Below are 24,671 nucleotides of genomic sequence, written 5' to 3'. Positions count from 1 at the left end.
CATTATTTCACTGGTTTTTAAATGTTAGGGTCTTTTAGAATCACATGGACATCTTGTTTAAATGATTATTAAATGGATACAAAAGCAGGTGAGCCTAGGAGTAAACATTTTATCAAAGACTATTGATAATTTTGATGTCGAATTTTTATAAACCTGATGTTCCACTATTCATATTTTTCGGAAAGAAACAACATACTGGTTGGAAGGACAATTTTTGAGCCAAACTACCTGAGACTAAATCCTATGGCTACTACTATGAGCTAGGTGGCCAGGAGCAAATGGTAAAAGTTTTTTGCCTCAAATTCTCATGTATAAAATGCACATGTTCATACATCTACCTCATAGGACAGTTGCAAAGAATAAATATAAAGAATGTACAAGATTCCCTGGGATGTGGCACATATTACGTAAATATGACACATAATCATAAAGCAGTCAGGTCTATTATTGAGTGAAGACAGAAAATGAAATAGATTGATTTTGTTCATAAAAAGAACTAATAAATGTGAAAAACGTTGTGCATTTGAGACCAAGAACCATTTAGAACATAAGATAAACGCAATAATTAGCCTTATTAGCAGTGCTATAGGCTGTTGTCTAACAAATGTAAAATAGGGGAACAATATGCTAAGTCAAGTACATGCTGACTGGTAATTTTGATGTAAAACTTAGATAAAATTTAGAACCTACACTTAATCATATTAACAAGAGGGCTTAATTTTAAATTGAAGTGTTGATGATTTCATGAGGCAGAACATTTTAATTACTAACTGGACAATTTAATATTATCTGAAAGTAAAACAGTACAGATGCTTATTAAGTTTTGGGGATGGTATAATTTAAATAAAATTGTCTAATTACCTATAGATTTGAAGCCAAAGAATATGCAGGTTTATTCAAATCAAAAAGGTAACAGACCCCAAAATTTCTTGTTAAATTTGGCTTTGCTCTTTCTTGACTTCAGAACATCTTAAAGCCTGATCTTTTCCCACGAAGTATTTTCATGGGATTTTCTAAGCCATCCCCTCACCATTTTAAGATTGCCTTTGAGGATTTCACATGTGCAGGGCTTTTAGTTTTTATTTGCTTGCTTTTGTTTTTGTTTCAATCGTCTTTTGGAGGGAAACTTTGATGCATCCTTCTCCCTGACAGACTCCAGCATGCAGCTTTTGACGAATTCAAGCCCGATACTCTATTGCCATAGTCCATTCCAGGCATCTTCTGACCTTCTTAGCTGCGTTTCAAATGCAAGTACAAATTACAAGAGAGTCTTAATAATCTCTCTGTTTGATCTCCCAAAATCCACATTATTGTCAGTATTAAAGAATACTAAGAAACCTATAAAACTTTCATAAATTGATAAGTGAATTTCAGACAGCGGTAGGATACAAGATCAATTTACTAAAACCAATTATATATTTACTACTACTAATAATAATTATTGCTTACTACTAGTAATAATAATTTGAAATAATCACATTGAAGTAACGTTACATTACTATGTAACATTAATGTCAAAATTTGTAAATATTTTAAAGCAAATGCCACAAAAACCTGACAGATTCCTACAGTGTAAACAAGGCATAACTCATTGAAATTAAACAAGCTTTAAATTAATGAAAAGAAATGTTATACTCATGTATTGGAAAAGCTAACATTTGAAAGATGTCAACTTCTCAAAATTTGTCTAGAGTCAAAATAATCTTAATTAAAACTCCATATGCCATTTTGTAGAGGTTAACAAGTTAATTCTACAATTTATATGAAAATGCAAAGAATCTAAAGTAATAAAAGCAACTATGAAGTAGATGAACAAATTTGGGAAACATATACCATCTGATTTAAAGGAGTATTATAGAGTAATAGCACACAGGAGAGAGTAAAATTGGAAGAAAAATAGAGACAGAAATCAATGAAATGGAATAAAGATTCTGGAAATAAAGTCTCACATATTTGGCCAAGTGATTCTTGGCAGAAGCATAAAGCTAATTTAAGGGAGAAAAAGGAAAGTTTTTTTCAAAAAGTAAATATTTTAAACAAATAGTAAGGTACCACTGGATATCTGTACGAGAAAAATGTACTTCAACCCCTATGTTACCCCAAACCCCCCAAAGAATTCAAAATTAGTCACAAGTCACAGTGTAAAAGGAATCCTATAAGTCTTCAAGAATAACAATGAATCTTCACAAACCTAAGGCAAAAATTATTAGAGAGATCACAGGAGCACTAATTACCAAAAACAACAAAACCAAAACAAAAAAGGTACATTACACTGCTTTACAAAAGAATTTTAACATTACTCTTTAAAAAGACAATGATTGAAAAACGCAAAACAGAAAACAAAATATGACCTACACACTAGCAGAAAATATTTACAGTACTTATATCTGACTAAGGACTTGAATATAGAATATATGAAATTATATCTGACTAAGGACGTAAACATAGAATATATGAAAATCTTTTATGACTCAGTAATGTGAGAAAAAATATCTTATTTTTTAAATGGGCAAAAGTTTGAGAGAGACACTTCAAAAATGACAGCTGATAATCATATGAAAAGATGCTCAATTAAAGAAATACAATTTAAAACCACAATGAGGTGCCAATGTACATGTATTAGAATGGCTATAATTAAGAAAGGTTTGATCTGGTGCAGTGGCTCACACCTATAGTCCCAGGTATTTGGGAGGCTGAGGCAGAAGGATCCCTTGAGACCAGGAGTTTGAGACAACCCTGGGCAGTATTTTGAGACCCCATCTCTTAAAAAACAAATTGGAACAGTAGGAATTTGCCTGTTTTGTACAAATTTTAATGGGACTTAAATTTCCACAGCTGCTTAAAAAATTAAAAATACAGTTACAAAAACCCCTCAGTTTTACCCAATACAAATAAAATTACATGGCCACCAATAATTTCACATATACATTCATAGTATCTATATTCATAATGATTAAAATGGAAAATAAACCATATGTTTATCAACATTTATACAAATAAAAAGATGTAGTATACTATTCAGCAATATAAAGGAAAAAGTTATGCATGCAAAAACATGAAAAAAATCTCAAAAGCATTATGCTAACCAAAAGAAAATAAGAATAAAAGAAAACACGCTTTATGATTTCATTAATATGAATTTCTAGGACAGTTAAGCTAATCTATAATAGCATAAATGAAATCTATGCTGGGCCCTGGTGAGGGCATAATGGTGGAATGAGTATATTGAAGCATGAGGGAATGAAAGAAAAGGTTTTTAATCTTGATTTGTGTGGTGACTATACATGTATGCTTATTTGCCAAAACTCAGAAAACGACATTTTAAAAACATTTTTATTGTACATAAAATATACCTTTATAGAGTTGATTTTCTCAAAGTGGCATGCATAGAATAATAATTTTCTTTCAAGCATCTCTAAATAAGTATACCATGTATTGAGGCACTATTATCTTTCAGCAGTGTCTTAAGAAGGAATACTACGTCCTGAATTTACATTTTAGAGGGACAATCAGTAAATTCACATAAAAATTAGATGAAGTGTGGTGGTGGTTTGATAGAGTTCTATTTCCTGAGACAGCAGAAAGCCTTAAGCTGCATGAGATGAAAAGGTTTTTATAAGATCCTGTGTATAATAGAATTATTTGTGACTGCCTTTTCAGAGATCAACAGTAAATAAGGGAGAAGACAACTACAGAGACTAAGGAATAATATGAATGTGTACAAAGGAACAGAGTTTTAGATTCATGGCATACCTAGGAAACTAAAAGAATTCATTACAGTTTGCAGAAGCAGGGAACTTTGAATGCTGAAAGAGCTGTAGGAAAGCTATACAACTGTTTTCAAAGGAACTAACATCGTATATATATATATATATTTATATATACCATTTTCCTTCTACATCTTCTATGTATGTAATATGTATGTATATATATAAAATATGTAAAAGGAGAGTGGAATATATTATAGAAAATAAAATCTCCAGTTAATAGAGAAAAAAAAGTTGACAAAAATTATTTGATACTCTCACATAATATAAAAACATTGACTCTATAAAACACAGTTCCTAGACAACTCCTGGTGCTAGACTGGGCCTAGAGCCAGTGAACAAGGGTGGCATGTGACCTAGGGATACACCAACTGGCGTGGATAAAAGAGGGCTTGTGTTATCCCTCCCCTAGCCACAGGCAGTGCAGGTTGTAGCAAGAGAAGTGACTCCTTCTTTCTGCTTAAGAAGGAGTGATTGAAGAGTAAAGAGTACTTTGTCTTTCATCTTGAATACCAGCTCATAGTAGAAGAGGGCACCAGGCAGAGTGGTGAGACCCCCAGTCCAGGCTGAGGTGACATTTCTCCCAGGTGACATTTCTAGACAGACCTGAGCCAAAAAAAAAATACCTGCTACCCTGAAGGGAAGGACCCCATCCTGTCCCGATTCATCATGAGCTGAATTAAGAGCCCTTAGTTCCTGATTTACCACCAGCATTACCCAGGGAGTATGGCATAGGCCTTGGGCTCTGTGACATGCTGATTTCAGGGGAAACTAAGCACATTCCTGGCTGTGGTGGCTATGGTGAAATATTTATTGTTTGAGAAAAGCAGAGGGAAAAGTAAAGGGGACTTTGTCTTGCACCCCTCAGCTCAGCCACAATAAAGTAGAGTAATAAGTAGAATCTTGGGGTCCTTGAGTTTAGGAGTAGGCAGTACTGGACCTTCACTGGGACAGAAAGAATCCCATTTCTCTAAAGGATGAGGCCCAGGCCTGGCAGCATTCGCCACAAGCTGACAGAAGAACCCTTGGGCTTTAAGTAAATATAGTGTTGGACTGGCAGAACACCCCATGGACCAGTGGTAGCAATGGCCACAGGGAGATGACCTTCTCCCTGGGGTAAGGGGAAGGAAGAGTGGGAAGGACTTTCTATTGTGATTTGAGTGTCAGTTTAGCCACAGTAGAATAGAACATCAGGTAAATTGGTAAGGTTTGTGAATTCAATCCATGTCTCTCAAACAGCATATCTGGACACGTGCAGGACCTGGGGGATCTCACCACCCTGAAGGTAAAGGCCTTGGGCATGGCTCAGTGCTATACTGGCTTCAGGTCTGACCTAGTTCAGTTGCAGTTGTAGTGGCTACAGGAGTGCTTACATCACCACAACCCACTTCTCAGGTGGCTCACCACTGAGTGAGAGAGAGAGACCACATGTTTGGGAGAAAGTAAGGGATAAGAAAAAGCATCTCTGCATGGTAATCCAGAGAATTCTTCCAGATCTTATTCAAGACCACCAAGGCAGTACCTCTAGGAGTCTGCCAGATAACATTATTGATGCTGGGGCTGAAGTCCTTTTAAATCTTTGAAAGTCTTCCTACAAAGAAAAGACATAAATAAGCTCATACTGTGGAGACTACAATAAATACCTAACACGTCAATGCCCAGACAAGAAAGAACATCTACAAGTAACACCAACATAAGGAAAACATGACCTCACCAAATGAACTAAGTAAGGCACCAGGGACCAATCTTGGAAAAACAGAGATATATGACCTTTCAGACAGAGAATTAAAAATAGCTGTTTTGAGAAAACTCAAAGAAATTCAAGACAATACAAAGGAATTAAGAAATCTATCAGATAAATTTAACAAAAAATTAAAATAATTTAAAAGAATTACGGAAAATTCCGGAGTTAAAAAAATGTAATTGACATGTTGACAAATGCATTAAAGTTTCTTTATAGCAGAATTGATCAAGCAGAAGAATTAACTAGTGAGCTACAACACAGGCTATTTGAAGATACAGTCACAGGAGACAAAAGAAAAAACTGAAACAATGAAGCATGCCTACAAGATAAAATAAATATCCTAAAAAGAGTAAATCTCTCAATTTGTTTTTGTTTTGGTTCTTGAGAGGGAGTCTCGCTCTGTCACGCAGGCTGGAGTACAGTGGCGTGATCTCGGCTCACTGTCACCTCTGCCTCCTAGGTTCACGCAATTCTCCTGTCTCAACCTCCCTAGTAGCTGGGATGGCAAGTGAGCACCACCATGTCTGGCTAAATTTTTTGTAATTTTAGTAGAGACAGGGTTTCACAATGTTGGCCGGGTTAGTCTTGAACTCCTGACCTCAGGCCTCCCAAAGTGCTGGGATTATAGGCAGGACCCACCATGCCTGGCATAAAAAGAGTAAATCTAACAGTGATTGGCCTTAAAGAGGAGGTAGAGAATGAGATGAGGGTAGAAAGTTTATCCAAAGGGAGAATATGAAAGAACATCCCAAACCCAGAGAAAGATATTAACATTCAAGTATGAGAAAATTATAGAACACCAAGTAAATTTTAACATTCAAGTATGAGAAAATGATAGAACACTAAGCATATTTAAGCTAAATAAGATTACCTCATGCCTTTAATAATCAAACACCCAAGGATCAAGGAAAACAAAAAAGAAAGAAAGAAAGAAGGAAAGAAAGAAAGAGAAAGAAAGAAAGAAAGAAAAGAAAAGAAAAGAAAAGAAAAGAAAAGAAAAGAAAAGAAAAGAAAAGAAAAGAAAAGAAAGATTGATTTTAGGTCTTATGTTTAAGTCTTTAATTTGCCTTGAGTTACTTTTTGTATAAGGTGTAAGGAGGGGGTCCAGTTTCAGTTTTCTGCATATGGGTAGCCAGTTTTCCCAACACCATTTATTAAACTGAGAATCCTTTCCCCATTGCTTGTTTTTGTCAGGTTTGTCAAAGATCAGATGGTTGTAGATGTGTGGTGTTATTTCTGAGGCCACTGTTCTGCTCCATTGGTCTATATATCTGTTTTGGTACCAGTACCATGCTGTGTTCGTTACTGTAGCCTTGTAGCATAGTTTGAAGTCAGGTAGCGTGACGCCTCCAGCTTTGCTCGTTTTGCCTAGGATTTCTTCTAGATTTTCTAGTTTATTTGCATAGAGGTGTTTATAGTATACTCTGATGGTAGATTGTATTTCTGTGGGATCAGTGGTGATATCCCCTTTATTGTTTTTTATTGTGTCTATTTGATGCTTCTTTTTCTTCTTTTTTATTAGCCTGGCCAGCAGTCTATCTATTTTTGTTAATCTTTTAAAAAAAACCAGCTCCTGGATTCATTAATTTCTTGAGGGTTTTTTGTGTCTCTATCTGCCTCATTTCTGCTCTGATCTTACTTATTTCTTATCTTCGGCTAGCTTTTGAATTTGTCTGCTCTTTCTTCTCTAGTTCTTTTAATTGTGATGTTTGGGTGTCGATTTTAGATCTTTCCTGCTTACTCCTGTGGGCATTTAGTGCTACAAATTTCCCTCTTAACACTGCTTTAGTTGTGTCCCAGAGATTCTGGTACATTTTGTCTTTTTTCTTATTGGTTTCAAAGAATGTATTTATTTCTCCCTTAATTTCATTTTTTACCCAGTAGTTATTCAGGAGCAGGTTGTTCAGTTTCCATGTAGTTGTGCGGTTTTGAGTGAATTTCTTAATCCTGAGTTCTAATTTGATTGCACTGTGGTCTGAGAGACTTTTAGTTATGATTTCCCTTCTTTTGCATGTGCTGAGGAGTGTTTCACTTCCAAGCATATGTTAAATTTTAGACTAAGTGTGATGTAGTGCTGAAAAGAATGTATATTCTGTTGATTTAGGGTGGAGAATTCTGTAAATGCCTATTAGGTCCGCTTGGTCCAGAGCTGAGTTCAAGTCCTGAATATACTTGTTAGGCAATACCACTCAGGACGTAGGCATGGGCAAAACCTTTATAACTAAAACATCAAAAGCAATGGCAGCAAAAACCAAAATTGACCACTGGATCTAATTAAACCAAAGCACTTCTACAAAGCAAAAGAAATTATCCTCAAAGTGAGCAGGAAACCTACAGAATGGGAGAAAATTTTCACAATCTATTCATCAGACAAAAGGATAATATCCAGAATCTATACAAAAACAAATTTACAAGAAACAAGCAAACAACTCCATCAAAAAGTGGGCAAAGGCTATGAACAGACACTTCTCAAAAGAAGATATTTATGCGGCCAACAAACATGAAAAAAAGCCCATCATCACTGGCCATTAGAGAAATGCAAATCAAAACCACATTCTCACGCCAGTTAGAATGGCAATCATTAAAAAGTCAGGAAATAACGGCTGCTGGAGAGGATGTGGAGAAATAGGAACATTTTTACACTGTTGGTGGGAGTGTAAATTAGTTCAACCATTGTGGAAGACAGTGTGGCGATTCCTCAAGGATCTAGAACCAGAAATATCATTTGACCTACCAATCCCATTACTGGGTATATACGCAAAGGTTTATAAATTATTCTACTATAAAGACACATGCACACATATGTTTACTGCAGCACTGTTCACAATAGCAAAAACTTGGGTCAAACCCAAATGCCTATCAATAATAGACTGGATTAAAAAAATGTGGCACATATACACCATGGAATACTATGCAGCCATAAAAAGGATGAGTTCATGTCTTTTGCAGGGACATGAATGAAGCTGGAAACCATTATTTTCAGCAAACTAACACAGGAACAGAAAAACAAACACTGCATGTTCTCACTCATAAGTGGAAATTGAACAATGAGAACACATGGGCAGAGGGAGGGGATCATCATACACAGGGGCCTGTTGTGGGGTGTGGCCTAGGGGAGGGATAGCAATAGGAGAAATGCCTAATGCAGGTGGCAGGTTGATGGATGCAGTAAACCACCATAGAACGTGTACACCTATGTAACAAACCTGCACCTTCTGTACATGTATCCCAGAGCTTAAAGTATAATAATAAAAAAAGAATCAATGTAATAACCATTCTAATAGTTGGGTCAAAATTTAAATAATTTTATAAGTTTTGTGTAAAAATATAATTAGGATATAATTAAGATCACTTTAGCTCATGTCTATGTTAAAATAAGTTAGCAAAAATGAAAAGCATATTGTAATACAAAATCAGGTTAATATATATCATGTGAAAAATCAAAGAATGTTATGAATTCAAAATTAAGTCTGTACTGAAAAGCCTTCAGATTTCTAAGAAAGATTTAAAAATACATGGAAAAGAAAGAAGAAAGAAAAGAAAGAAAAAGAAAGAAAGAAAGAAAGAAAGAAAGAAAGAAAGAAAAAAACAAGAAAGAAACTCCAATACTCAGAGTAGGCTTTTCAGTGAAAACCTTATAGGCCAGGAGAGAATGGCATGACATATTTAAAGCACTGAAAGAGAAAAACTTTTACTATAGACTAATATATTCAGTGAAAATATCCTTTAAGCTTGGAGGAGAAATAAATACCTTCTCAGAAAGACAAAAGCTAAGGGATTTAATCAACTTCAGGCCCTTCCTGCAAGAAATGCTACAGTGAGTTTTACAATCAAAAAGAGCAGGATATTAATGAGCAAGTACAAATCACCTGAAGATATAAAACTCACTGGTCATATAATAGTAAGCACACGAAAAACATATTTATATGACACTGTATTTGTGATGTGTAAACTTGTCTTGACTTAAGTAGAAAGACTAAATGATGAACCAATCCAAATAATAACTTTAACAACTTTTCAAGACATAGTCAATACAGTAAGACATAAGGAGAAATAACAAAAAGTTAAAGAGGGGGATTAAAGTGTAATTGTAGGGATTTTATTAGGTTTTTATTTTCCTGGTTGTTTATGAAATCAGTATTGTTTTCATCACCTTAAAATAATTGATTATAAGATAGTATTTATAAACTTCATAGTAACCTCAAATCAAAAAACATACAATGAATACACAGAAATGCTAAAAAATTAAAGCATACCAACATAGAAAATCTCCTTCACTAAAAGGAAGACAGGAAGGAAGGAAAGAAGGAGGAGATGGCAAAACAACTAGAAAACAAATGACAAAAAGGGAGAAGTAAGTCCCTATTATAAATAATAATGCTGAATATAAAGGGACTAAACTCTCTAATCAAAATACACAGAGTAGCTTAATGAATGAAAAAACAAGACTCAATGATCTGTTGCCTACAAGAAACACACTTGACCTATAAAGATACACATAGACTGCAAATAAATGGAGAGACAAAGGTATTTTATGTCATTGGAAACCAAAAAAAAAAAAAGAGAAGAAATGACTATATTTATATCAGATAAAATAGATTTTAAGAAAAGTAAGAAGAAACAAAGACACCTATTATATAATGATAAAAGAATCAATTCAGCAATAGAATATAACAATTGTAATTACCTATGCACCCATCATTAGAGTGCTCAGATATATAAAGCAAATATTAGAGCTAAAGAGAGAGATAAACTCCAAGACAGTAATATCAGGAGGCTTCAATACCCCACTTTCAGCACTGGACAGATCTTCCAGAGAGAGAACCAACAAAGAAACCTCAGACTTAATCTGCACTGTAGGCCAGATGGATCTAAGACATATTTACAGAATATTTTAGCCAATGGCTGCAGAATACACATTTTTCTCCTCAGCACGTGGATCATTCTCAAGAATAGGCTATATATTTGGTCACAAAACAAGTCTTAAAATATTCAAAGATTTGAAATAATATAAAACATCTTCTTTGACCAAAATAAAGTAAAATTGCAAATCAACAACAAGAGGAATATTGGAAACTATACAAATACATGAAAATTAAATGGTATGCTTCTGAACAACCAACTGGTTAATGAAGAAAATAAAGAGGAAATTGAAAAATTTCTTAAAATAAGTGATAAGGAAAACATAACTTACCAAAATCTATGGGATAAAACAAAAGCAGAAATAAGAGGAAAACTTACAGCCATAAGTGCCTACATCAAAAAAAGAACTTCCAATAAATAACCTAATTATGCTTCTTAAAGGATTGAAAAAGCAAGAGCAAATTAAACCTAAATTTAGTAGAAGAAAAGAAATAATAAAGATCATCACAGAAATAAATGAATTTGAAATGAAGAGAACAGTAGAAAAGATGAATGAAATGAAAAATTGAATTTTTGGAAAGATAAACAGAATTGACAAATCTTTAGCCAGACTAAGAAAAAATGAGAGAAGACCCATATAAAAATAATCAGAGATGAAAAAGGAGACATTACCTTTGACACTGCAGAAATTCAAAGTAACATTAGAGACTACTATGAGCAACTATACGCCAATAAATTGGAAAATCTATAAGAAGTGAATAAATTACTAGACACACAAAACATGACAAAATTGAACCATAAAGAAATCCAAAACCTGTACAGACCAATAACAAGTAATGAGATCAAAGCCATAATAAAAAAAAAAATAGTGTCCCAGTAAAGAAAGCCCAGAACCTGATGGCTTCACTCTGGATTCTACCAAACTTTCAAAGACGAGCCAATACCAATTTTACTCAAACTATTCTGAAAATTGGAGGAAGAGGGAATACTCCCAAACTTATTCTATGATGCCAGTATTACCTTTATACCAAAACCAAAGACACACACACACACAAAAGAAAATTCCACACCATTATCTCTGATGAATATTGATGCAAAAATCCTCAACAAAATACTGGCAAAATGAATTCGACAATACATTAGAACAGAGACCCCCAACACCTGGGCCATGAACTGGTACCAGTCCATGGCCTATTAGGAACCAGGCCATACAGAAGGAGCTGAGCAGCAGGCAAGCAAGTGAAGCTGTTTGTATTTACAGCTGTGCCCTGTCACTTTGCATTCCCGCCTGAGTACCACCTCCTGTCAGATCAATGGCATCATTAGATTCTCATAGGAGCATGCACCCTATTGTGAATGGCAAGGGATCTAAGTTGCGAGCTCCTTAGAAGACTCTAATGCCTGATGTTCTCAGGTGGAGCTGAGGCAGTGATGCTAGTGCTGTGGAGCAGCTGCAAATACAAATTAACTTTAGCAGAGAGGTTTGACTGCAAGGAGACCATAGTAAATTAATTTCTTACAGACTCAAATCAAAACTCTATCAGTGGGTAGCAAGTGACAAGCTGCATTTAGTAGCAGGCTTTATATTGGTAAGTGAATTGATGTACTTCAATTGTACAGCTGTATCCGGTGGTAGGCTTTAAGTCAGAATCTGACTCATTTTATTTACGTATAGTGCAACCATTATTTTATTTACTACTTCCAGATGTGTCTCTTTCCTGCATTGTACACTTGTCTGAGTCACAGTTTTGGTAAGTTCACAAGGCAACCCTAGCCAAAGTGAGTAAAAAACAGATGCCACTTGAGAGCTTCTTTGGACAGGGCAAAAGACACAATGATGAGATAGCAGAATACTTTAAAACCGCCAACAAAAAGAAAGCTGTGTTTAAAAGGAAATACTGAGTCCTACTTAAATTATGGGTTCATAGTAACAGGTGATTCACATTCTGTAAGCCCACTTTGTTTAATATGTGGTGACCTGCTATCAAATGAGGCCTTGAAACCTTCAAAACTGCTTTACCACATGGAGACAAAGCACCTTGTATTGAAAGATAATGCTTTGATGTTTTTCAAAAGAAAAAAAAAACATGAGAACAAAAAAACAGAAGGAATTATCAAAGGTTATCGCTTCATCAAATTTGTCTGCACTGAGAACATCATTCTTAGCGGCTAACCTAATTTCTAAAGCTAAGAAGCCCATTACTATTGGTGAAGTGTTAATCCTGCCTGTGCTAAGGACATTTGCGGTGAACTGCTGGGGGAGGCTGCAGTTCAAAAGGTGGCTCATGTTTCTCTTTTGGCTGGCACCATAAGTAGATGAATTGATGAAATAGCAGAGGACATTGAAGCACAATTGTTAGAGAGGATTAATGAGTCGCTGTGGTATGCAATCTAGGTTGACAAGTCTACTGATGTTGACAACAAGGCAACAATGCTTGTTTTTATAAGGTACATTTTCCAGGATGATGAGCATGCAGATATGTTATGTACACCAGTTACCAACCAATGCCACAGCTGCAGAACTATTCAAATTTTTGCATGATTACATATCAGGAAAACTGCATTGGTAATTTTATGCCCATATATGCACAGACCTAGCAGCTGCCAAGATTGGACAGCTTTCTGGTTTCTCTAGTTGGGTCAAAAAGATTGCTTCTTAATGTGAGTTTACAGACCATGTCATCCATAGAGAAATGCTGGCTAGCCAAAAAATGTCACCTGAACTTAACAACATTTTGCAGGATGTGATTAAAATTATCAACCAATTAAGGTACATGCCCTTAACTCATCTGTTCATGCATCTCTGTAAGGAGATGGATGCAGATTATACATGTATTCTCTTATATACAGAAGTGAGATAGATTTCTAAAGGTATTTCACTGGACAGAATTTTTGAGTTGTAAAAGCCACTCTAGAGATTTCTTTTACAAAAACAGTCACCACTGGTAGTACATTTCAGTGACACAGAATGGGTTGCAATACTTGCTTACTTATGTGACATATTCAACGTGCTCAATGAACTCAATCTGTCACTTTGAGGGAGAACAGTAACTGTGAGTGGAATTATGGGGACAACTAGTGAACACTCGTATTTTTGACATGTTTAAATATTAGCAGAGATTTTGAAAGAGACTGAGCCAGGGCCTTCTTTCTTGCAGCTGGTGCATGATCACCTATCTCAGCTTTCAAAAGAGTTTGAGCATTACTTTCCAACACAAACGCCCCCAGAACTGGCAAACAATGGATCCACAACCCATTTGTGAATAAGCCAGGTAAATGGGCTTTATCCAAGCTGGAAGAGGATCAACTGCTTGAGATTGCAAATTATGATGACCTTAAAAGTATGTATGAGACAACTTTAAATCTCCATTCATTCTATATTAGAGTCAAGGTAAAATATCCTGAGATTTTCACAAAAGCATTGAAAAGCCACCTCCATTTCCAACATCCCATTTTTGTGAAGCAGGGTTTTATGCAGTGACAGCAACCAAAACAAGATTGTGGAGTAGACTGGACACAAGCAAACACTTCGGGTGTCACTATCTCCCATCACCCCTAGATTAGACCCTCTTGTTGCAGGAAAACAAGCTTAGAGCCCCCACTGATTCTACATTTTGGTGTATTGCGTAATTGTTTCATTATATATTAGAATGTAACAATAATAGAAATAAAGTAGACAATAAAGCTTGTGTGCCTGAATTATCCTGAGCCTCCCCCCGCCAACAGACACACACACACACACACACACAAAATCGGGGTTCCTGGTGCCAAAAAAGTTGGGGACTGCTGCATTAGAAAGATCATTTAAGATGACCAAATGGGATTGATCCCTGGGATGCAAGGATGTTTCAACATATGCAAATTTATCAATGTGATACATCACATCAACAAAATGAACAACTAAAACCATATGATCATTTCAATTAATGATGAAAAATCATTTTCTGAAATTCAACATCCCTCTATCATAAAAATCTTAGAGAAAATAGGTATAGAAGGAACATACCTCAACATAATAAAAGCCATATATGACAGACCCACAGCTAGTATCATTACGAATGTGGAAAACCTGACAACCTTTTTTTTTCAAAGATCTGAAACATGACAAGGATCCCCACTGTCACCACTGTTATTCAACATAGTACTAGAAGTACTAGCTGGAGCAACCAGACAAGGGAAAGAAACAAAGGGAGTCCAAATTAGAAATGAAGAAGTCAAATTATCACTGTTTGCAGATACTATGATATCATATTTGGAAAAAACTAAAGACTCCACTAAAAAAACTATTAGAAATGATAAACAAATTCAGTGAAGTTGCAGGATACAAATCAACATGCAAAAATAAGTTGCATTTTCACATGCCAACAATGAATAATCTGAAAAAGAGATTTAAAAGTAATCCCATTTACAGTAGACATAAATTAAATACAGAACAATTAACCAAAGAGTGAAAGATCTCTACAATGAAAACTATAAAACACTGAAGAAAGAAATTGAAGAGGACACAAAAATCTGAAAGTTATTCCATGAGTATGGTTTGGAAAAATCAATATTGTTAAAATGTGAATACTACCCAATGCAATCTACAGGTTAAGTTCAATCCCTATTAAATATCAATGACACTCCTCACTGAAACAGAACAAACAATCCTAAATGTATATGAAATCATAAAAGATCCAGAATCGCCAAAGCCACCCTGAGCAAAAAGAGCAAAACTGGAGGAATCCCAGTATATGACTACAAATTATACGACAGAGTTATACTAAGCTTAACATCATGGTACTGGCATAAAAACAGACTCAGACCAATGGAACAGAATAGAGAACCCAGAAACAAATCCACAAGACTACAGTGAACTCACTTTCAGCCAATGTGCCAAGAACATACATTGGGGAAAGGAGTCTCTTCAATAAATGGTGCCGGAAAAACTGGATATTTATATGCAGAAAAAATGAAACTTGACCCTATCTCTCACCATACAAAAAAATCAAAATATACAAAAGATTTAATCTAAGACCTCAAACTATGAAACTGCTAAAAGATTGGGGAAACTCTCCAGGACATTGGTCTGGGCAAACATTTTATAAATAATACCTCACAAGAACAGGAAACCAAAGGGAGAATGGACAGATGGGATCATAGCAAGTTAAAAAGCTTTTGCATAGCAAAGGAAACAATTAATAAAGTGAAGAGACAACATTCCTGCTAAATGGGAGAAAATAATTGCAAACACTCACTTGACAAGGGATTAATAACCAGAATATATAAGGAGCTTGAATAACTCCCTTAAAAAATCTGATAATTTGATTAAAAGGGGCAAAAGATTTAAATAGAAATTTCCCAAATAAAGACATACAAATGACAAACAGGCATGTGAAAAGTTGCTCAACATCATTGAACATCAGAGAAATTCAAATCAAAACTACAATGAGGTATTATCTCACCCCAGTTACAATGGCTTTTATCCAAAAGTCAGGCAATAACAAATGCTTGTGAGCATGTGGAGGAAAGAGAACCCTCATACACTATTGGTAGGAATGTAAATTAGTACAGCCACTAGAGAGAACAGTTCGGAGTTTCCTCAAGAAACTGAAAATAGAGCTGCCATATGATTCAGCAATTCCACTGCTGGGCATATACCCAAAATAAATGAAATAAGTATACCGAAGAGATATTTACACTCCCATGTTTGTAGCAGTGCAGTTCACAGTAGCCAAGATTTGGAAGCAATCTAAGTGTCCATCAATAGATGAATGGATAAAGAAAACGTGGTACTTATACACAGTGGAGAATATTCAACCATAAAAAAAGAACGAGAGCCTGTCATTTGTAACAACAAGGATGAAACTGGTGTTATGTTTAAGTGAAATAAGCCAGGCCTAGAAAGGCAAACATTGTATATTCTCACTTATTTGTGGAGTCTAAACATCAAAACAATTGAAATCATGGAGATGGAGAATAGATGGATGTTTACCAGAGGCCTGGAAGGATAGTGGGGAGTTGAGAGTGGGAAGGAGGTGGGAATGGTTAACGGGTATAAAAAAATAGCTAGAAAGAATGAATAAGATCTAGTGTTTGCTAGCACAACAGAGGGGCTATAGTCAATAATAATATAACTGTAAATTTCAAAATAACTAAAAGAGTATAACTGGATTGTTTGTAACACAAAGGGTAAATGCTTTAGGGGATGGATACCCTATTCTCTATGATGTGATTATTACACATTGCATACCTATATCAAAACATCTTATGGAGCTTATAAATGTATACACCTACTAAGTACCCACAAAAATTAAAAATAAATAAAAAAAAAACAAGCAAACAAACACAAAACACTTATGAGAGTTTTAATCTTTGCCAAGTCAAGATGGTGTTCAGCAGTGAAGGTAAATTTCAAAAATAAGAAAAAACAAAAATCTATTTGTACAATTAGTCTCATCATACTCAGAAATGGAGAAGCATTGGAGTATTCAATGTAGTATTAAAAAAGGAGAGTTTAGGTAAGCATGAACCATATTAAGAAAAGGTTTATATGTAATATGCCAGAAAAATGTCCTTTCTGCTTTCCTTCCTCTTCTCTTTTCCCTATCCATCTCTTCCTCCTACTCTTCCTTTTGTCCTTAGGTTGCAAAGTTTCCTTGTTGAGAGTGATTGGTGTGGACTTCTAAAATAGGGCACTTGGGCCAAGTAGTAAAAGGAAGGCCCCTGATGGAGCATAAGTTCCTTAGAAACACAGAGATGCTAATGGTAAAGTCTGAAAGAAATAGGGGGAAAAAAAACCCCCAACATTTGATGAAACTGTACCGTGGGAATTCAGTGTGTTTTTCCCTTATCTATGCACTTTTTAATTTCTTTTGTTAGTTCTTCTCATACCTGTTTTCCTCTTTTCTGCTGTGTTTCTCCAATGTTGAGCCTCACTGAGATACCTTCTGAACTCTCTCTTTTTTTTTTTTTTTGGCCTTTGTTTGGGAGAGGCATCATTTAATCTGATCTGAAAAGAGACCAGAGGATGGGAAAGACCAAATGGATCATTTCTTTCCTACTCATTGTGTTGGTGCCTCTTATCCTAGTTGATTCTGTCAGGACCTCAGCTTCAGACAGACCCTACCACAGGTTACAGCTCTCACTTTGTATTGGTAACACTCTTTCTTCCCTTGCCCCTCTACCGTAGGAGTAATTGTATCCTGCTATTGCTGGTGTCTGGGTGCATTGCCATCTCTTGTTTTTATTTAATGTTGACCTTGCATATGAGCAGTGTCTTTATTAAAGTCTGCTCATTTGAAATAATGGTGTTGAATTGTGGCTCTTGCTAGGACCTGGATTCGTGCATTATTTTGAGTAACTAGTAAAATTTATAACTAACATTAATAAACTTGAATATTAAGAGATCAGATTGAAGCCCTAGTTGGTTGTAATTCTTGAATCTGTAGTGATTTCAGGTTGTGCACATTATTTCAGAGTGGCTAATATCACTGATATAAAATGTAAATGCTTCAAACCAAAAATCCATGAAAAAATTAGCTAACTGCTACTCAAGCTCAAATAATCCTACTATTTTACCTTTACTAAAATAAAATATACAGTATTTTTTTCTGGTGTTCTAGAATCAGAAAACGCAAATGCAACAAGATCTCAGTAACTGACACTATGTATTGAGAAATTAGAAGCTAGGAAGAAATTTTATTTTAAAATGACAAACATAATTTTATTAACTTATTCAAATTCCACATGCATCCAGGATTAGCTCCAGTGGGAAAAGCCTAAATCCAATGATAAGAAAAATGGAATTTCTCTCTTTGGACCCCATTCTTTCAACAACGTTATGCAGAATACATCAGTTCAAACAACACCTGAAGGGCAGATTCAGAAGAGCCTGAAATTCATCAGAACTGCTAAGGTAGCAAACCATAACATGACTCAGAGGACCCATCATCCCTGTTGCTATAGGAATGGAATTTATGGGATGTATGGTACGTAATCACTGCAGCATAGTTTCAGCAAAACTGGTAATGCTACCTCTTTCTCCACTGCTAACTGGCTCCCTAGATCCCTGTTCTCGCATCACCAGAAGAAATCCCCTGTTCTCACTCTCTCTGCTTCTTCCATATTTTACCCCTCACTCCTCTCCAATAAAATAATATAAGAAGAAGAAAGAGGTCTGCAAATTATCAGGTTTTGATGCATATATTTGGAACTATGCCATTTTCAAGTCTATTTTTTATTTCTTCTATATTATGAAAGAATCATTGTGTTCTTTGTTCATAATTTTTAGTTTCATTTGATATTCAGGCAAAATGAGATTTTAAAAATGTGCAGGAAATTACTTAAATTGTCAAAATGGAATCAAAGGTTTTATATTTCCTCAGAATGGTCAGGGTGTAAAGAGTATCAAAAAATGTTTATTCTATTTTAGAATAGTGTTAAAAATACAATATAAATTGGGTTCAAATTTCTTGCAAATATTGGTCATTTTATCACCTAGTATTCTGAATTAATTGGACTTAATTTTAAAAAATTTATAATTATGTTTTAATAATTATTCATTGGTATTGAAGAAAAATAGTTTGGATAAAGGTCAACCTTTTCAAATACATGTAACTCATAAAAATATTGTTCAAATCTCATGCTAAAGCTGATTTACAGTTATATCAACATAAAATATTATTTATTCTAGAATATAGATTTTATTGGAAACATTAAATTTTTTTGTATAGAATTTTATATCCAAAGTGTTGTATAGCTCTAGTGAGAATTGACATAAACTCAGGAAATTGCATTTTGGCATTCATCTTGTTTATTGTCCCACTATAGCTTGATTCTCCTTGTAATTATGCCTTAGTTGAAATGAATATGTGATGAAACTATCTGAAAATTACTAAATTCTCAAAGACATGCTTTAAAAAAATATATTATAGTGTGAAAGCATCTAAACCACATTTCAAAGCAATTCAATTTATTCCAGTGAACTCTCTCTTTTTTGATGAAAGATGCTTTGAGGCAAAATTATAAAGAAGGTATAAAGGAAAATTTACAGTGAATAGGTTTACAAATATATTTATCTTTGTGGAAGCCATATGTATTTAGTGTAAGAAGCTATGAATTTATTGTAGAGATAACTAGGACTTCTTATAGGCATATAGGTTTAGAATTAATTAGATTATTTCTGAACTAGTGATTATTTTAAATTGAATATCTATTACTGGAAATGTAGGCTAGAATAATAATATTAGTAGTGTTATCTCAAACAATGAGCATTATTTGATTATCATTGTGATTTAAATATTCAGAAGTTAGTCTCATTATGCATGAAATATAAACATGGTATGCATATATTGCCAAATAATATTTATTTTTCTTTTTTATTATTCTACATAACATCTTAAACCAAAACAATAGCTTAATAATTGCTCACAATGTTTTACTTTTGAAATGCCAAATAAACACCTGTCTGTTATTTAATTCTATAGGAATAATATATTTTGATTGCATAAATTATGTAAAAACAAATTTAGAAATCACAATATGAAAAGACGTCATCCTCACTCAAAAAAAATTAAAATCTTCCTTTAAACAAAGGTTAAAAAATGAATTTATACTATTTCAACAACAAAAAAAGTGGGAAAATAAAACTTCAAAAAAATCTAAATTATTAGTGTTATTTTCTATATTATTTGTATCTAACTTTTTGTCTACTTAATTCTTTATTATTATCAGGAAATAACTTAGAAATAACATAGATTGAGCTTCATAAAGTGAATTATTCTTGAAAACTGTTTGCAAAATCCCTACAGAACCACCATGATACAAAACTATTATGCCTTTTGGGGCATGTTGCTTTAGAATACATGATACATGAGAAAATACAAATAATTTCAATATGACAGATTAGTTAAATTTCAATGGAACTATCACCATTTTTTCCCTTGGAATTTGTTCTTTAATTTATGTATCTAACTTCATTCCCAGAATATTATCCCTAAAAGAAGAGATCCACTCTTGTAAGAGTTTATTACTACCTGTTTGCTTTTTTAAAGTATGAAGGGGAGAACAGAAACATCAATATTATCTGGGCCTTGTTAGAAATGCAAATTTTCAGGCCCCTACCAAACAACTGAATCAGAATTTCCAGGTATGGGCCTTAGAAAATTAAGAAATCTGTGTTTTAGCAACATTTTCAGGTGACTTTGAGAAGTACTGTTCTTAGCTACATTTGAACCACGGTCAAGTGTTTCAATGCAGCACTAATGTCAACAGTAGGCAGTTTATGCACTCATTCTTAAAACCTCTCTTTCTCATGAAAGACTATATACTTTGGATGTCTCGAAAGTGATAATCCAGCTATTGTGATTACTGTCATATAAAATATATATACAGGGCCTTGATAGAGTGTGTTACAGTTTATTCATGCCTGTAGCCCCAGCTACTCGGGAGGCTGAGGCAGGAGAATCATTTGAACCCAGGAGCTGGAGGTTGCAGTGAGCTGAGATAGCGCCACTGCCCTCCAGCCTGGGCGACAGAGTGAGACTCCATCTCAAAAAAAAAAATAACAACTTCAACCAAATTTTTTAAACTTGATTTTCTACCTTACATATTATTAATTCATGTGGCAAATGGAATATAATGTTAAGTATATTTCAACTAAATTTTATTACATATTATAAAGGCTCTTATGTTTCACATATCCAGTTAACACATCCAGAGGAGCTGGCTTATATGCACATAATATATTTGATAGACAAGTCCTATGAAATTCCACTCCCAGGAAATAGTTTTACAGAACAGGCAATATAGATAATATATTCAGAACTTACTGAATCAAAATTGAATTTTACTAGTTATGAGAGAAAAATATAGATAGAATTATAAAATTCAAATGAATACTGTTAATAAGCATTTATTAAACTAATTCAATGAGAATCTAGCTTAGGAAATTTATTCTGATTTACAAAATAACATGGAGTCTTTAATATGTACAGTACCGATGGAGATGATAATGTTTATATTACAGTCATCAAGCTGAATATAGTTTTCAGGGCTTCTTGTTCTAAAATTTATAAAGGAACTTGGATAGTTAAATCACATAGTTTGATTAATATATCACAAAAGCCTAAAGACTGTATCAAACTAGTCTGTAGGCATTTATCTGTACTTCAAGAAGATCAAGCTAATCTCACACACTTGAGTAATAATATACCTGGATTTAAGTCCAAAGGTGCATAGAAACACTATGGAGTTGAACACATAATAGATAGACTAGAGAATTATAATAACATTAATTAGCCAATGATATGGGTGACTTACCAAAAAAAAACCACGTTATTCTTTACATCTTTGGTCTTCCTTCCAAGAACACAAACAAGTTTAACCATAAGAAAGTCACCAAACAAATTTTAATAGAAATACCCTCTACATAGTACCTAACTTGTATTTACCAAAACTCCAAAGGTAATCATAAACAAGAAAAATCAAAGTAACTGTCACAGCTAAAAATAGCACATGAAGACATGATTCTGTGAAGAAGGACGTCAGTAATTTGATAGGAATAATGTCAAATTCATCAATTGCTTTGGGCAGTTTGGCCATTTTTACAATATTGATTCTTCCAGTCCATGAGCATGGAATGTTTTTCCATTTATTTGTATTATCTCTGATTTTGTTTTGTAGTTTTCCTTGTAGAGATCTTTCATGTTTTTGGTTAGCTATATGCCTAAATATTCTAAATATTTCATTTTCTGTATGGCTATTGTAACTGGGATTGTGTTCTTAATTTCACTCTCAGCCTGGATGTTGGCATATAGAAATGCTACTGATTTTTGTACATTGATTCTATATCCTGAAACTTTACTAAAGAAATTTATCAGTTCTAGGAGCCTTCTGGCAGAGACTTTAGGAAATCTAGTTACAGAATCTTATCATCAGTGAAGAGAGGTAGTTTGACTTATTTTCCTATTTGAATGCCTTACTAAATGTAACACAGAATCCTGGAACCGGAAGAAGTTATTAAATTAAATTTTTTTTAAAAAGTATGTACTTTTGTTAATAATTATATATCAATATTGGTTTATTAATTGTAACATATTTGTGTAAGACGTTAATAAGAGGGAAAACATAGCGTGAAGTGTATGGAAACTCTTTAAGCCATTTGCTCCATTTTCTTGTAAACATAAAAGTGTTCTAAAATCAAAGTTTATTTTTAAATGGTGCTGCATTATGAGATGTTACGTTTGGTGTGAAATACTAACTGTTACACGCTAAATTCTGACTGGGCATGGTGGCTTACATAGATAATCCCAGCACTTTGGGAGGCTGAGACCAGAGGATTACTTAGAATTTAGGAGTTCAAGACCAGCCTAGGCAACATAGGGAGACCTCGTCTCTACAAAATATAAAAATAAATTAACTGGGTTTGGTGGTGTGCACCTGAGGTCCCAGCTACTTGGGAGGCTGAGGCTGGAAGTTGGCTTGAGCCCAAAAGGTAGAGACTGCAGTGAGCTGTGACTGTGGCATGGCACTCCAGCCTAGATGACAGAACAAGATATACTGTCTCAAAAAAGGAATAAAAAAAGCTAAATTCTGACTATAAACACAAGTTGCTCTTTGTTTTTACAAAGCACTTACTTTTGAAATATGAAGCAGTATGAAGTAGTTCTTTTTGCATCCATCATGGTCATTTTAAAGATATGCTACCACATATTAGTTATTCTGATGAAGCGATAAATTAAAAAACAAAGCTTAAGACATCCTATTACATAATTTTACTTTGTTTTAGCCTTTTTGGTATTCTCTTGTTTTGTAATATTATTATAAAGGACAAAAAGTCAAGAACAGATGAACTGCTAAAGAATCACAAAATGTTGTGTCATATGTCAATACACTAAGTTCAATAGTTGGTGACCTGCTATTCTCTCTGCATTATTTCTTCCACCCACAAATGAACTTTCATTTTACACTTGATTTACAACTCCTGAAGTGATTCAACCCTTAGGCATGCTGCTTTTATTAATAACACAAATAATCTGGTTGGAGAAGAGAAAAGCCATTCTTTATTTGAAAGGGAATGAAATATATTTCCAAACCTAAATGTGTGAAGTTGACATTAAAGGTTGAAGGAAACATATATGTGTATATTTTTAGGTTGAATGATTCTATAGTCTTAACTTGTTATTTATTCAGTAAAGAATATCAAATAACACAGGAATTATACTGTTGAATTTTTCTAAAATTTTCTTTTGTTTTCAGGACTTTGATATCAACACGTGTAAGATTACAATTTTCCCAGAAATTTTCACTGTTTTTGTTTTCTCTTTGGGGTAAGTTCCATTTCATTGCCTTAGGTGTTTGAAATGCTGAGCTGAAACTTCAGCATAATGAAAAGAAGGAAATCATACAGAGAAAAGTTTGTAGCTGCTGGCATTGTGAAGTGTTCCATTATAAGAAGCCTACAAATCTTTAATGCTAAATTTATGAATGTGTTCTTATAGAGGTATGCAATTATTAAAAACTATCCACCTATCAGCAAGTTGTAAAGGAAATACTAAAGATTAAGATTCAGAAAACCTAAATTTTATTACAAATTTTGCATCCTTAGCCACTTGACCTCTCTGGATACTAGTACCCTTGTATGTAAAATAAAAGGGCAGAGAAAAGTCATCTCTAAACAACAAATATATTTAACTTCAAAAACATTGCCTGAAAACATGCTAACATCAGAGACAAAAGACAAGCAATGATTTTTCAAAAGAAATATGGGCTTTTCACAATTTAAATCACATAAGAAATAAGGGAATTACAACAGGCATTAGTTCTGAAAGGCTTGCCTGAGGGTTTCAGGTGAACTTACCTAATGACAAACAAGATAGCATCTGTTATACAGATTTGAAAACGTGCTGAGTCTGATAACCAATCATTCCAAGTAAAACAGATTATAAATAAAAAAAGACTTCAAATAAATCATAAATAAAATAATTCTTGTTGCGTTAGACAGCTTCCAAGATGGTCTCCAATGATTTTCACCTCATGATATCCACCTTTTTATGTATTCCTCTCCCACATTAAATAGGGTCCACCTGTGTAGCCAATAATACATTGCAGAAGTAATGATGTGTGGCTCTGAGGCTTGGTTATAAAAGACTTGGCAGTCCTTCCTTGCTCTCTCCTGAATCACTCATCCTTAAGGAAGATAGTAGCCAAATCATGAGGACAGTCAGGCAGCCCTCTGGAGAAGTCTATGTGGAAAGGAACTCTGGCCTTGCAGTAAGAACTGCTGGGAAGCAGATCTTCCAGCCCCAGTCAAGCCT

The 24,671-nt window shown here is 34.3% G+C and overlaps 1 long non-coding RNA gene across 2 annotated transcripts in view; it reads right to left on the bottom strand.

Moving 5' to 3' along the window:
• The window catches only part of LINC02315 (long intergenic non-protein coding RNA 2315), a 186,338-nt gene that overhangs the window by 141,268 nt on the left and 20,399 nt on the right, over nt 1–24,671 (bottom strand). The window lies entirely within an intron of this gene.

Source organism: Homo sapiens, chromosome 14 (assembly GCF_000001405.40).
Source record: "Homo sapiens chromosome 14, GRCh38.p14 Primary Assembly".
In the NCBI taxonomy this organism is placed as follows: Eukaryota; Metazoa; Chordata; class Mammalia; order Primates; family Hominidae; genus Homo; species Homo sapiens.
This window is presented reverse-complemented; position numbering and strand designations above follow the sequence as displayed.